The following is a 15,853-nucleotide window of genomic DNA, read 5'->3' on the forward strand; positions in this document are numbered from 1 at the left end:
TGAGGAATGAGCAGAAGTTCAGCATGTGAATGATAAGGAGACGAGAACCCCAGGCAGAGGGAACAGTGGTATAGAGGCATGGAGGCGTTAAAGAGCCTGATAGACTCTGGAAATTATACATAGTTGTACGGGGCTAAAGCATAGGGAAAGGGAGGAGAAGAGGGGGTATCTGAGGCTGGAGAGGTAGACAGGAGCCTTGTAAATCAGACTGAAGAGCTTAACCTTTACCTTCTAGGTAGCAGTTGCAGTTGGTAATATCCCATGTCAAATGAATTCAAGCAAAAAGGAAATTGTATTAGTTTACATAACTGTGAAGTTCAGGACCTGAACTATCTTTAGGCCCACCTGAATCTAGGACTCAAACAGTGTCTTCCTCCCTGCAGCCATAGAAGATGGCTCCAGCTGTTCTAAGCTCGAAGTTGGCACATTGTTTTTCTTAAAGGGCCAGATAGTAGATGTTTTCGGCTTTGTGGGCCATATAGTCTCTGTCACAAGTCTCTACTGTTGTAGGTCAAAAGCAGCCATACATTGTTTAAATGAATAGGTGTGGCTGTATTCCAATAAAATAAAACTTTAGAAACAGGCAGCTGGCCTATAGGCTGTAGTTTGCCTGACCCTGTTCTGGGCTTGCATGGTTTGTATAGGTCACTATCTTAGAGAAAAAAAGAGACTCCCACAGCCCCCAGCGTCCAAATATGAAATCTCAGAGAAGACCATGGTGCATAGCACTTAGGTCAAGTGCCCATTCTTTTATTTATTTATTTATTTATTTATTTATTTATTTATTTAGAGACAGGCTCTCACTCTGTTGCCCAGGCTGGAGTGCAGTGGCAAGATCATAGCTCACTGCAGCCTCGACCCTTCCAGGCTCAAGCGGTCCTCCTGCCTCAGCCTCCCAAGTAACTGGGACTACAGGCGTGCACTACCATGACTGGCTAAATTTTTCAATTTTATTTTTCATAATGACAGGGTCTCAGTGTGTTGCCTAGGCTGGTCTCAAACTCCTAGGTTCAAACAGTTCTCCCACCTCAGCCTTCTAAAGTGCTGGGATTACAGGCATGAGCCACCGTGCCTGGCTAGGTGCCCATTCCTGAGCCACTTAGGAAGGGGTCTCCTGATTGGTCAGCCCAGACATGTGCCCATCCCAGTAGCAGTGGTGGGGATCAGCCGAACCAGGAGCATATGGAATGAAAAGGGGGATGCTATTGTAGAAGACAGGGGAAGAGATGTGGATATCCACTGCAACGTGCCAACAAGAAAGAGCATGAACTGAGTGCCTGAAAGTACCAGTGATGATCCAGCTTGAAATTGGTCCTGACACAGCCTCAGGCACCAGGCCAGCCCTGCAGTGCTGATGCACGCCCTGCCTGGCCTTTTCCTTCTGTGCAGTATTTGCATCTCAGCTGCTTTGTTTACACCTAGTCAGAATGCACTTGCCTGCCCATTCTTCCTCACACATTGCTCCACCTGCCTGGGTGGAACTAGAGGGCAGAGTTACAAGGGTGCGGGGTGGGGAGGGTGCCAGGCTGAAGTTCCTCTGCCGTTGATGGGGGCTACTTCCCTCCTCCAGCCTCAGCATTCTCTCTCCTTATCTTGAAGGGACAGTTACTTATGGTTCTCTTCTCTTCTGTGCCTTTGTCTTACAACTACCCTTCTGAACATTCTCCACCAGGCTTAACGTTTATTTACTTGTCTTTCAAGGCTTAGCTCAGCTTTGCCATTATCTCCTTTGAGATGTCTTTCCAGTACCCTCAAGTTGGTCAGTGACCTTTGTACCAAAATATAGCATCCTATTCCAGAATATAGAATGTGGACATATATTACATATATTTTCTTATGATTATTTCTCTACCTGTCTCTATCACTAGCTTCTTGAGGAAAGGACCAAGCCTAATTTACTTTTAGGTTCTGAGCTCGTACTCAGCACAGGACCTAGCACTGAGTAGGCAAGCAGTTGTTGGATGGGGCCGTGTTTTCCAGCTCCATCTAGTCCCATGTAAGATACGGAAGCAAGAGCTTCCTGAACAGGCTTGGAATAGTACTTGTTGGTTGGCACCTGATGTTTGTCTCTTTACCTCTGAGCTACCTCTCTCAGGACATATGATGCCCACCTGCTCTTAAACTTACCATCCTTTCTCCTTCGACTCCTGCTCTCCCATAGGACCCATCTCCCATGGAATTCATTCAAGTGGTCAGCAAGGGGAACGCAGCAAGACACATATTTGACAGGGCATTTAGAAAGTGTTCGCATTACTTGCTTAGACATACACCAGGCTCTTCCTGTGCATGGCCCTTTATGGTGGGGCTGCAGCAGCTAGATCCCAAGCAAGACCATGTAGACTCTAGAACACCTATCTCCCTACGTTATGTCTATCCCACCACTACTCAGAGAAGGTTCTAGGAAGGTGGATCTGTGGGATTTGGCTTCATCCTGTTGGATGACAGTCTCACCTTGTGGGAGCCAAGGCCTGTGGTTGAATATAACGGACTGATGTGCTGTGGTCCCTGGTCTAAGAACTCATTGCTGGGCTCTGCCTTCCCTTTGTCTCATGGGCTGCTTGCACTCGTCACAGTCATTGGGAGAAGTGGCTAAAAGGCTGGCCACCCAACCAACCAGGCACAGATGTCAAGCTGAAGCCATCTGTTACCCTAATCCAGCAAACCCATATCTGGAAGCACCTCTTTCAGTTGGGTTGGTAGGAACTAGGAGAAGACCCTACCCTAGATCTGCTGGTGCCCACACATAACTACTCCCTCACCTCACTCCTTAATAAGACCAGTCAGCTTTCTTGCCAGTCTGTGGATACAGGCTTAATATTCCAAGCCTTAGAACATGGTTTAGGTTGATGAGCCAGTGTTGAGGACATTCACCTTATACGCTGCACCTTAGCCACATTTTTGAGCATTAAGTGAGCTGGAAGATCTCTTAGGAGGGCCCCAGGTTGCCCTTCCTGGCTGGTTAGCCTGACCCTTATGCTTAATCATAGTCCTCTTTCAGTCTACAGGTCTGCGAGCAGGGCAGCCTCCTGGCTCCTGAGGTTCCATCTATGCTGTGAGAGACACAGGGGTCAGATCCACACTCAGCATGTACTCTCCCAGGGCCCAAAACCCCCAAACTACTAGGCTGTAGGATCTAAGGAGAAAGGATAGGCAAGTTCCAGTGCAACTTCCGTCTCCTCCTTCCCCGGGTCCTTCTCACGCACTCACACACACCCTGCTGAAACCTGATCCTGAGGCTGCCTCGCGTGCCGGGGTGCTGGCGGGGCTGGCGGGCTGGGGCCTGTCTTTTGGAGCCTGCCCCACCCTCCCCTGCTACCCCCTAGGCCAGGGCAAGCAGGTCAGGCGTCCCACACCCCCGCTAGTCTGACCAGTCATTCTATACCTTAAGGGCCACCTCCACCCTGGCCAGGCCCCCAAACTGGCACACTGGTCTGGACGGAAGCCCCTGGATTCTGTTCCAGGCATAGCCTGAGGTTAGGCCACCTGCATAATTAACACACACACACCATCTTTACCATCACCCCACCCCGACATTTCCTGTTGTTTATAGGCCCCAGCCCATTTTCCAAGGCCTCTGCAGGTGTCAAGCCACCTCACAGGGGATGAACAAAGTGCAGTGGGAACACTGGAGGAAGAATGCAAGCCTCCCTCGGGGAGTCAGGGGAGACTGTCCTGAGGAAGTAGTCTTTCAGCTTGATAAGAATGAAACAGAGCAGAGGATGCCAGAGGCTGGGAAGGGAGAAATAGGGAGAGACTTGTCAAATTATACAAAATCACAGCTAGATAGGAGGAATAAATTCTAGCGTTCCATGACACTCTGGGGTGATTGTAGTTAACAGTAATATATAGTTTCAAATAGCTAGAAGGAAGATATTGAATGTTCTCAACACAAAGAAATGATAAATGTTGGCCGGGTGCAGTGGCTCATGCCTGTCATCCCAACACTTTGGGAGGCCGAGGCGGGCAGATCACCTGAGGTCAGGAATTTGAAACCAGCCTAGCCAACATGGTGAAACCCTGTCTCTACTAAAAATACAAACATTAGCTGGGCGTGGTGGTGCACACCTGTAGTTCCAGCTACTCGTGAGGCTGAGGCAGGAGAATCGCTTGAACCTGGGAGGCGTAGGTTGCAGTGAGCCAAGATCACACCACTGCAACTCCAGCCTGGGCAACAGAGCGAGACTCTGTCTAAAAATAAATAAGAAATGATAAATGTTTGAGATGATGGATATGCTAATTACCCTGATTGGATCACAATACATTATATGTATCACAACATCACTTTGTACTCCATAAATATGTACAATTATTATGTGCCTATTAAAAATTTTTTTAAAAGTAAGAATGCATTTTTTCCAGGCCTATAGAGAAGGAAAGTGGTTGGGAAATAGAGCAGAGGTGTACATTTCAGGCAGAGATAATGCATGTGTAAATGCAAGAAGACGGACATGTCTACAAATAGTGCTGCGCTGGGAGTATATATAACAGTAGTCCCAGAGGAGTAAAATCTAGATTGCATTAGATTGGAGGGTGACTAGGAGATGAGGAAGTGGAGACAGGATATCCACTGCTCTTCCTAGAACTTTTGCCATGAAAGGATGAAAGAGAGGCTGGTAGCTAAAGCGGGTACATGGCCAGGACGCTTTGTCGAATTTGTTTGTTTGTTTGTTTGTTTGTTTTCACAGGGGAGAGACCTGAGCCTTATTGTGTGCATAAAGAGAAACAAACAGAAATGGAATCCATAGCATGATAGAAAGATCTACTTTGGTGTCATAGGGATGGGGTAAGGAGGCCAAATTTAAGAATAGGTAAAGGGGCTGATAGATTTGTGGGTAAGGAAGCCAGAAGCTGAGGGAGTACCTATCTGATGGTCTTGGTTTTTCTGTGAAGTAAGAGAAAAGATACCTGCTTAAAGAGAGTTGGAAAAGGATAGAGTTTATGGAGAGTAGAGAATGTTTGGAATAGCTGCTGAGCAAAGTTGAGGGCCCAGCGCCTCATAAATTTGTGGTGGCATCAGTGCACTTTAGTGTATATGTGTGTGTGTTCTCGCAGCCCCTCAAGTATAAAAGGTACAACAGTGTAAGATTAGATAAATCTCTGGTTGGATTTTGCCTAATGTGTGGGACAAAAGAACAGTGGAACCAACGGGTACAGGACCCTGGCAAGAGTGAGATTGAGGAGATGGATGGGATCTAGCCAAGAGAGATAATAGACTAGAAGTATGTATAGAAATCAAGTGGGTTTGGAGTGTAGAAGGCAAAGGAGAGAAAGAGAAAATAGAACATGAAGAAATTGCATTCAGAGAGTATTGGAGATTAATATTTTCAAAGTGATGAAGAGTTTCAGAATGTGGCTGTGGGACTGAGTGCCTGACGTGGAGTGAAGATGAGAGGGTCACTGGAGTCAAGTAAGTCATCTTCGAGGCCAGAGTTGTAGTAGGCATTGAAGTTTCTGAAAATAATTGAGCAAGAATTGGGTTTGCGTAGAATATGAGACAGATGCTGAAACCTTGAATGAATATGGCAGAGTTGGTAGATGATCGCTTGAAACTTGGTAATAAAAGTGTTGGTGATGTAGTGATGGAGGTGAGGATGATGTTGGGGAAAGTTATGGTGCTGGCTGTGATTGTTAGAAATTCCACATCCACCACTGTCCTTTCTGGGAGTTCTAGGGTAACAAGAATGTAGAGTGTTCCAAGTCCTTGTTCCCACCTTGAAACCTGATCTCCCCATCACCATGAAAGCATGCCTGTGGCCAAGAGAAGGAGGAGGAGGAAGAGACTAGAGCACAGCACAGGACATGTTGAGGGAACAGTCTTTGAATCCATGCAGCTGCAATCAATGATACAAGGAGGGGAAACCAGGAGAAAAAAACAAGCATGCAAATCTCCAAAGAAAAGGTGAAGAAAAGCCACAGGATAGTCTTAGAAGAGGTAAAGAGAGGCCTTTGTTAGTCATATGGAACTAGATAAAATTGGATCTGGTCTTTAAGCCAACCAGAATAGACCAGAGATTTAAATGTAAAACATGAAAACACACAAGTACTAAAAAAGTATGGATGAATTTCTCTATAACCTGGGGATGAGAAAAACTTTCCTATGACTCAAACTCCAGAAGCAATAGGGGAAAGACTGATAAATTTGACTTAAAACAACAACAACAACAACAAAAACCTACTGTGTGGGAGGCCAAAAGTGACCATAGCAGCAGCTTTCTGCCTCCTGCTTTGAGAAAAAATAAAAATCTTTTGCAAAAATGAGGGGGGAAATAAAGAAAAGAAAACACCACAACCCAAGTAAATAAATAAACAAACAAACAAGGGGAAATTTTGTAACTGTATCTCAGAGAGTTTATATATTAAATATATAAAGAACTTTAAAAAAAGAGAAGAAAAAAACAATACCTAAAAAATAGGCAAGAGATACGAATAAAGTTTATAGAAAAAGAACTGCAAATGGCTCTTCCATATATGAAATAATGCTAAATTCCACTCATAACAAAAGAAATGCAAATTAAGATGACAGTGAAATACTATTTTTTTTCTATCAGACTAACAAAATCTAAATGTTTGACAGTGTACTCTTGGTGATGTTGCAGGGGCTGTGGGGGAGTGGCACTTTCATACATCACTGGTGGGTATTGCAAAATGGCACAATCCCTGTGGAGGGGAATTTGGCAGTATAGAGCAAAATCAGAGATACACACTTTCCCTTTGATCCAGCAAACCCACTTTTAGGAATCTATTTCAAAGATACATTGGCAAATAGAAAAGACATATGCATTAAATTATTCATTGTAACCACTACTAGTAGCACCTACTTTACAAAAGACTGGAAACAACCCAGGAGATTGATTGAATAAAATAAGGTACATAATCAATCATGGGAGTATTATTGAGTATGTAATTATAATGGAGTGCTCACCAGGATATATTGTTTAGTAAAAAAAGAAAAATAGACAAAACAGTATGTATACTGTGTTACATTTTTAGTGAATAAAGAAGGGAACAGGAATACACACACACACACACACACACACACACACGTTTCATTTATTTACTTATATCAAGAAAAAAGGATACAATAAAACTAATAAAAATGAATACTGTATGGGACTAGAAGTAACGGGACAGAGATGAAAGCTAGACTTCTTTGAATGTATTTTGTTTGTGAATTTAATTGTGTAACTAGGCAAAACTCTATATCATCATTAAACAAAATCAATTAAAATGAGGGAAAAGCTCTCCCTTAAAAACAAAAGCAGAATGAAACAAATGAACCTAACTATGTATCATGTCATTGATAAATTAAACTCAGCAGAATTATTTCAACTGGCAAATGCAAAGTAATTTGTCTGTTCTTCTAGTGGGGTATACCCTAAGGCAGAAGGAACTGCAAAGAAACCTTAAATTGTTTTTAGTAATGGTAGTGTTAGTAGTATACTGGTATTGTTTTTCTGAAACCATTATATACATTTTCTATATGTATACGTTAGGATCAAGCAAAAACAGTAGTTGTGTTAATGTCACTGGAAACAAGGATATCAGCTTAAAAGAGATACAAATATAAAGTCAAATATAGTAGGTAAACAATTTTTTGCTGTGTGAATTACATATCATAAAGCTGTTTTAAAAAAGAAAAAGAAGATAAATACAAATCTTATAATCCTAATTTTGAATTGGAAATACTAGTTACAAATGAATGATGTATTCTTTTCAGAAAATTAATTCCCACCCTGAGCAATATAGTGAGACTCCATCTCTACAAAAAATAAAAAATAAGCCAGACTTGGTGGCACATGCCTGTAGTCCTAGCTACGCAGGAGGCTGAGGTGGAAGGAATGCTTGAGCCCAAGAGTTTGAGGTTGTAGTAAACAAAGATCACACCACTGTACTTTAGCCTGGGCAATAGAGCAAGAGCCTATCTCAAAAAAAAATTATAGTTAAAATTTTAGGTGTGATAATGTTTTAAGAAAAGTTGTTTAGGTGTGGTTTATGTTTTAAGGTGTCCTTATCTTTTAGAAATTAATGCTGAAATATTTTATGGATGAAATGGCATAATTTCCGGGAATTTTCAAAATAGTATACAAAGAAAGTGGATGGGGTATAAAAGAAACAAAACTGACCATGATTGAAAATTGCTGAATCTGGGTGATGGGGGTGGCATGGTTGACAGTACTATTTTTTCTGCCTTTTTATATGTGAAATTTTCCATAATGAAAAGTTTAAAAATATATACACCGGAGGAAAAAATGAGTTCCCTTTGCAAAGAGATGCACCTAACTAGCCGAAGTGTTAGAGGAGAGCTGGCTGAATCATTCAAGGCATAGAAAGAGCAGCTACAGAAAGAAAATCCAAAGCCAAAGGCCTGATAAAAGAGAGAGACGAAGTGGAAAGTGTTTGAGGCTGAGCATGGTGGCTCACGCCTATAATCTCAGCACTTTGGGAGCCTGAGGCAGGAGGATCACTTAAGTCCAGGAGTTCAAGACCACCCTGGGCAACATAGTGAGACTTCATCTCTACTAAAAATAAAAATAAAATGAGAACTTAGCTGGGTATGGGGGTGGATGTCTGTAGTCCTAGCTACTCGGGAGGCTGAGGTGGGAGGATCACTTGAGCCCAGGAGTTTGGGATTACAGTGAGCCGTGTTCATGCCACTGCACTCCAGCCTGGGTAACAGACGTATACGGGACAGATGAACATGCTCAACAATATCCGAATGCAACTGGGAAAATATGGAATATGGGGCATTCTACAGGACAAATAGCCTGTATACATAGAACTAGGAAATATGTGTATGTCCTAGTTTTGACGAGCCTGGAAATGATGACTAACCCATAACAACATGAGCTTCCCTAGCTACTCTGATGGTGATCTGTAAATACCATTACCAATTAAAAGGAACCAGGGTTCCTTGGGAAAATGACTGATTCCAGGTTGGGGCAAGAAATGTACAAGATCAGCCTCAAAAATCTTTTCATACAAGAAAGCCAGGACATTATCAAAGATTACTAGGATGTGTGCAGAAGATTCAGGAGCCAAGTTGAAAAGACTCCACTGGCCAAAGATGGGATAATCTGAGCATCAAAAAATAATGATTGGCTGGGCTCAGTGGCTCACGCCTGTAATCCCAGCACTTTGGGAGGCCAAGGCGGGTGGATCACCTGAGGTCAGGAGTTCAAGATCAGCCTGACCAACATAGTGAAACCTCATTGCTACTTAAAATACAAAATTAACCGGGCATGATGGCAGGTGCCTGTAATCCCAGCTACTCGGGAGGCTGAGGCAGGAGAATCACTTGAACCCAGGAGGCAGAGGTTGCAGTGAGCTGAGATCGCACCATTGCACTCCAGCCTGGGCAACAAGAGCAAAACTACATTTCAAAAAAATAAGTAATAAATAAATAAGAATAATGGCTACAAAAATTACAATAGATTGACATATATCAAATACATGAAAATGTCTGAATTCCTAATGATTAAAACATAAAAAAGCCTCATTAATCATTCTTTGGGGGCTGTTAAGGAATCAGCTCATTATTCTGCAAATGGGTAAATAAGGGGGAAAATTAAGCATTTTATCTCATCTTTTCTGTAGGACTGCTACCAAAGAGTTAGTGAGAGAAAGTTTATAGAAGTACTGTAGCATCTCCTAAAGAAAGGATGGATCTAGGCGGTGATCCTCAGTGGCTGCTACAAGCATTCTGTGCAGAGCCGCTGAGAACTTTTATCAGTTCTAGCCAAGAACACTTGAACCTAGTCTTTTTTTAAATTTGAGATGGAGTCTCGCTCTGTCGCCCAGGCTGTAGTGCAGTGGCGTGATCTCAGCTCACTGCAACCTCTACCTCCCAGGTTCAAGCAACTCTCCTGCCTCAGCGTCCCAAGACGCTGGGACTACCAGCGTGCCCACCACGCCTGGCTAATTTTTGTATTTTTAGCAGAGACAGAGTTTTGCCATGTTAGCCAGGCTGGTCTCAAACTCCTGACCTCAGGTGATCCGCCTGCCTTGGCCTCCCAAAGTGCTGGGATTGGAGGCACAAGCCACTGCGCCCAGCCTGAACCCAATCTTGATCAATAATTTTTTTTTTTGAGGCAAGTTCTCACACTGTCACCCAGGCTGGAGTGCAGTAGTGTGATCTGACCTCACTGCAGCCTCAACCCCCCGAGCTCAAGTGATCCTCCCACCTCAGCCTCCCAGATAGCTGGGACTACAGTCTCTGTATAGCAGGAGAAAGGCAGTCTACAAAGCAATCTACAAAATAATATAGGAAAAGGAAAATCAGTTTCAAGGTATACCATAAGGTTAATTATCTCTGTGTTGTACAGTTATGGGTATTTTTATTTTTTATGTGTGCTTGTCTGTATTTTTTCCAAAATTAACACGATACAGGTTGCACAAAAAATGAGGTGTTTTTAAAAGTAAAACTTACTGAACTTTCCAATCATCTGAATAAAAAGAAAGCAGAGGAAAAGGGAAAAAAAAATGTCGAGATCATTTGGCTAGATCTTAGGCATATTTTATTAGCATATGACATCTAGTACATATTGGAAAGCAGATAAAATCCTGTCCAAGCTTGACTCTGAGAGAAACTTTCCAGAAATTTTATAAGCTCAGTCGTGACACAGAAGAAGAGGTTCTTGGTGCAGGCTTATCCAGGGACCATGTTTGCTTTGATATTACACATAGACCATGACCAGGATCCTCAGAGCCTCTGGCAAAACATCAAATATATTAATTTACTTAGATTTTATATACTTGGCACAAGAAATATGCATTACCCTTTTACATGGGGTGGTAGTGGGAGTGCACTGACTCAGTTGCTGGGACCCAACTCAGAGCTCCCAAGTGTTGACATCTTCCTAGCAAGAGTGATGGGGGAGGGAGCAGGATTCCAAGTTTTCTGCCTCTTTCAAGTTCATGTCAAAATCTCTAATAATAGCAGACCTCTGAGTGATAACTGATACTATTCCTCCTGGGACTGCTGGTTATAATGGTGTTAGTGATGATAGGGATGAGAAATCCATGCTGTGGTTGCTTCTGGGCTTGGAGGGCCACCCCTGCAGCCTCCAGTTATTCAGTGGCTGATTCAGGGTGAGTTAGAAATAACAACACAGAGCCACGGAGGCCCAGGCCTCCACACATTCATTTATGGCCAGGAAGGTCCTGAGCAGGCCCCATTGCAGAATTCTCAGCACACAGTGAGTGATCAGAAACTGGCCATCTTTGGGGCTGCCAGGTTCCCTGAAAAGGGCCTTCAAAGCAGGGTGCTAGCGCCCATGTGAAGTTGTGCTCTCCAGTCATCTCTGAAGAGCTCAATTCCTGCTGCACCTTCTCCCTCTTCCTCACTTCCCTTCCCTTCAGACTTCGTCTCCTCCTCCCCAAGCCTGTCCCCTCCCTGCCCATTCCAAGAAGAGTAAGACTTGCCTGTTCTTTCACCCCAGCTCAGCATCACTTCACCCTCCTTCTCTCGCCTTTGCCCCCATCTCCTCTCCAGGCCCAGATCAACCCTTCCCCTGAAGCTCTGGGTCCCTCCTCACTTCCACAAGAACTTAGCCTCCTCTCTTTCCTTCTCTCCACCAGCAAATGCACTCAAATTCCTACTGGTCTGAAACCTCTCCCCTCGGCCCTGCCTCCTAGGACTCTGCTTTTTCTTTCTCTTTCCTACCAAACTTCTGTCTCCTGTAGCTTTTAACCTGCTTTGCCCTCTCACCATGAATTCTCCTTCTTCCTCACTGTGGGTGGTCCACTTCCCAGAATTCTCTCCAAAATCTGTCTCCATGTACTGGCTGTATTTTTGGATATATTTCTGCTCAACTGGACAGTGTCTCATCTCTGTGTTCCCAGATTGCAGGAACAGTGTGGGCAGCAGTGACTATTTGATGAATGCCTGCACAACCTTCCAGAGAGCTTCCAGCTCTGAGAAATTGATCCTTGCTGAACAAATCTTGTCTCTCCACTCCTACAGCTAGCCAAATAAAGACTGACCAGGCCTACTCCCTCAGACTCAGGCTCCACTGAACAAGATCTGTCAAACCCCTCGACAGCTACCCAGTGAACAGGCTGGGTGGAGGGGGGTATGCCGGAATGCAGAGGGGGCTTCCAGCAGATCCTTTGCCAAGACCGACGTACGGAAGTGCCACCAGTAATCCAGACTGTTGCGTTTTTGTGATCCTCAGCAGTCCTGTTATATTCCAGGTTCTCCAAGCCAGCACCCATGTTCCTGGATGACTCCTTTCGCAAGTGGGCTAGAATCCGGGAGTTCGTGCCGCCTTTTGGGATCAAAGGTCAAGGTATGTTGGGAACCCTGACCTACATTAACATCTCATCCCCCCGACTGTCTCCCTGTCCTTCAGACAAGGCTACATCCTCAGAAGTCCCCATGCTGAGAATCCACCCTTCCTCTACTCTCAACAAATCTTCTCTACCTTTTTCCCTTCCTTTTTTTGTTTGTTTGTTTGTTTTTTTTTTTTGAGATAGATCCTTGCTCTGTCACCCAGGCTAAAGTGCAGTGGCATGATCTCGGCTCACACAATCTCCACCTTTAAGATCCTCCTACCTCAGCCTCCTGAGTAGCTGGGACCATAGGCACGCACCACCATGCCTGGCTTATTTTTTCTTCGTATTTTTAGTAGAGACAGGGTTTTACCATGTTGCCCAGGTTGATCTCAAACTCCTGGACTCAAGTGATCTGCCTAAAGTGCTGGGGTTACAGGCATGAGCCACCATGCCCGGCTTCTTCTTTAATGGAATATTTACACAGAGCCCACCACTTTGCCAGGGGTTAAGTATACAACAGTGAAGTAGACAGATTGTTTCCTCTCCTCAAAAAGCTCCAGTATAGCGGAGATTCAGATATTCAAGAGTGCAGAGTTCTGGTGAGGGCAGTACAAGGAGCTGTGAGAACACAGAAAAGGTGTGCTGTAGACAGGAACACTAGAGTACTAGGTATAGTAGGGACATTCCCAGAGAAAACAGAGACTGTCCCCCAGGAGTGCCCCACGTCCCTCTATCAGCCCATCCTGATATTTTTCACCTGAACCTCATCTCCCTTCCAACCCTTCCTTATCCTGTCCAAGGCTAACCTTTCCCCTACACTCTCACAAACTCCCCTTCCATTGCCTTGGGGACCTCACCCACACAGCTCCATGCTAACTTAAGACTTTCCCATCCCTAGTAGTTGAACAATTCTGCTTCTTTGTCAAGTTCTGTGCTATTTCATGGCATGGTGGAAAATAATCTGGACTTATGGGTCAGGCACAGAGGGATCAGATCCCCATACTGCCTCTTTACTAGCTGTGACCCTGGACAAGTTGCCTGTCTGTCCTTTAGTTCCGTCAGCAGTTAAATGGAGAGAATACTACTACTGTGTAAAGTTGTTGTCAGAATTACATAAAATAACTGCTAAAGGGGTGATATCATTTGGCCAGGAGACTCAAGAATACCTGAACCCTCTACTCAGCCAGACTATCTCTCCCTGAAAAGAAGCCAGTGGCAAGGAAAAACACTGTTGAACTGGCGCTTTGACCTCAGACCTCCAAGGACAAATCTAATGGTTGGGTTAAACCATATGAAGAACCCCTTTTCCCTGGGTGCAGGCAGCCAAGAAGTCCACTCTTCTCTCTTGAATCTGCACTCGAGACTCAGATGGGATAGCTACAAAGGCCAGGGAAGTTCGATATGGAGCCCATCAGCCAGCAAGCAGAGAGCATCTGCTAATGTGTGCTCTTTCTGCTGAGATTTTCCTCCTAGAAAACAAAGCCCAATCCATATCCTTGACCTTGGCTAATTTTAGTAGCAATATGCTCTTCCTTAAAGGTGAAATTGGAAGTGGGAAAAGGAGGGAATCTGTTGCCTTTCCTAAAGCCCACCGTAAGGTATATCTGAAGGCACTTAGTGTAGAACATTGCTTAAAGGTTTGTTTCCCTACCCCATTCTCACTCAACTTCTGGAAGGATTAACTGCACCTGCTGCCTCCTCTTTCTCACCATTTACTCCTGAAGAATATCTGCATCCCTGCCCATCCCACCCCACCATTCCAGTGAAACTGCTCAGTGTCCCGGAGAAATCCAAGGGATACTTCTCAGTCCTTAACATGACCTCTCGGCTACCTCTGCCTCCTTTAAAAAAGTATAAGTTTGTTATTTTTAATTTTGGAGACATCTTTTCTTTACATAAAATATTTCAAGCATACAAAAAATACTAGGAATAATAAGCATTGATGTACCTTCTACCCAGCTGAAGAAATAAAACATGAGACACAATTAAAGCTTCTGCGGGTCCCTTCCCACTCCATTCTCTTCCTTCCCCAGGAAGCCACTATTCTGCATTATCCTGGCTTCAGTGTTGGCATTCTTATGCCTTGTTTATATATGTTTGAGACAGGGTCTTGCTTTGTCACCCAGGCTGCAGTGCAGTGGCACACACACGACTCACTGCAACCTCAACTCCAGCGCTCAAGCAATCCTCTCACCTCAGCTCCCCAAGTAGCTGGGACTACAAGCACACACTAGCACTCCTGACTAATTTTTGTATTTTTTTGTAGAAACAGGGTTTAACCATGTTGCCCAAGCTGGTCTCAAACTCCTGAGCTCAAGCAATCCTCCCTCCTTGGCCTCCCAAAGTGCTGGGATTACAGGTGTGAGCCACCACACCCGGGCTTGTTTATGTATTTTCACTACATATTTATATATTTATTAAAAATATAGTACCGCTCTTACATGTCTTTAGACTTTACAAATGGTGTCATTATATGTACATGTATTTGTGTATATGTGTATGTATATTCTTCATATTTTTTTAATGTGTTTTTGAGATTTATCTATATTGGTACATACAGCTGTAGGTCATTGATTTTTTTTTTTTAATGGCTGTATAGGATTTCATACACCACATTTAATCTGGTTTTTTTTTTTTTTGGTGGACATTCAGCTTGCCTCCACCATTTTGCTATTACAAACAGTTCATCAGCAAACACTCTTGCATGTCTCCTGGAGCAAGTGTGTGACTTTTTCAACGCTCCACGCCTAGGAGCATAGTTGTAGGATCTTAGTGTCTGCACATCTTCGTGGTTATTTGATGTTATTAAGATGCTCTCCATTGTGGTGATACCAGTTTACTTTATTTTTAGGTCTTTGTGTACGTTATTTTATATCTTCCTAACAACTCCACAAAATAGGAATTACTTTCATTTTAGAGATGAGGAAACTAAAGCTCAAAGAAAGGAAATGATTTATATAAGGTCACAGAGCACAGCCAGTATTTGACTCCAAAGCCAATACCCTTGCTATTCACTATACATCATATTATAGTGCTCTCATGATACCAGAGTTTGGAAGAGCAGTCCTTATTGCCAAAGCCAGAGAGAGGCCAAGGAGATGAGGTCTAAATAGTGGGCACAGGTCTGAGAGCACAGAAGTCATGGGGGTCTTTGCTGAATGGAGTGCAGGTGGGCAGAGCCAGGCTCAGGGAGTAAAGAGGTGAGGAGGTAAAGACAGCCTGGCAAAGAGCAGGATTCAGGATTGGCAATGTGAGAGGGAGGAAGTGAGGGAAAGGTGATGTCAGATAATGAGGCACGTGGTGAGCTCTTCAGTTGCTGGGTGTCTCCTCATTTGTTTCCTGGTATCTGCTGGGTGGGAGCACAGAGATAAGTACAAGGTGGTCTCTAGCTCTGAGCAGGTACTCCCATTCCAGGGAGACTGCGTGCGCCAGCTTCCAGGGAAGGCCCTGGCCTGGGAATGCATGTCCTGGGGCCTGACTACAGAGCCTCAGAAAACCAGATGAGCCTCCCAGAAGCCTGGGAGAGAAGCTGCGTGCCAGTGTTAGGGACGGGCTCCCGGCAGTGATATGCCTGTCTGTT

At 44.1% G+C, this 15,853-nt stretch overlaps 1 protein-coding gene across 65 annotated transcripts in view, besides 1 other annotated feature; it reads left to right on the top strand.

The window, feature by feature from the left end:
- ST3GAL3 (ST3 beta-galactoside alpha-2,3-sialyltransferase 3) overlaps positions 1–15,853 on the top strand; it is a 223,624-nt gene that overhangs the window by 174,655 nt on the left and 33,116 nt on the right. For 64 of the 65 annotated variants that reach the window (NR_073021.3, NR_073018.3, NR_146867.2 and 61 more), the window contains one exon: positions 12,193–12,287. The exons of the other annotated variant lie outside the window; for it this stretch is intronic. Coding sequence is in view for 49 of the 64 variants with exons in the window: in XM_047428200.1 (XP_047284156.1) it covers positions 12,193–12,287 (95 nt within the window). In the remaining 15 variants the exon portion in view is untranslated. The remainder of the gene's footprint in view (positions 1–12,192; positions 12,288–15,853) is intronic. 65 annotated transcript variants of the gene reach the window in all.
- Positions 3,367–3,661: a silencer, noted in NCBI's record as "tiled region #749; HepG2 Repressive non-DNase unmatched - State 10:DNaseD". NCBI's record gives its function as "represses a minimal TATA promoter and a strong SV40 promoter by Sharpr-MPRA in HepG2 cells {active_cell/tissue: HepG2}" and the evidence as "EXISTENCE:reporter gene assay evidence [ECO:0000049][PMID:27701403]".

The sequence above is a fragment of the Homo sapiens genome, chromosome 1 (assembly GCF_000001405.40).
Source record: "Homo sapiens chromosome 1, GRCh38.p14 Primary Assembly".
Taxonomy (NCBI): domain Eukaryota; kingdom Metazoa; phylum Chordata; class Mammalia; order Primates; family Hominidae; genus Homo; species Homo sapiens.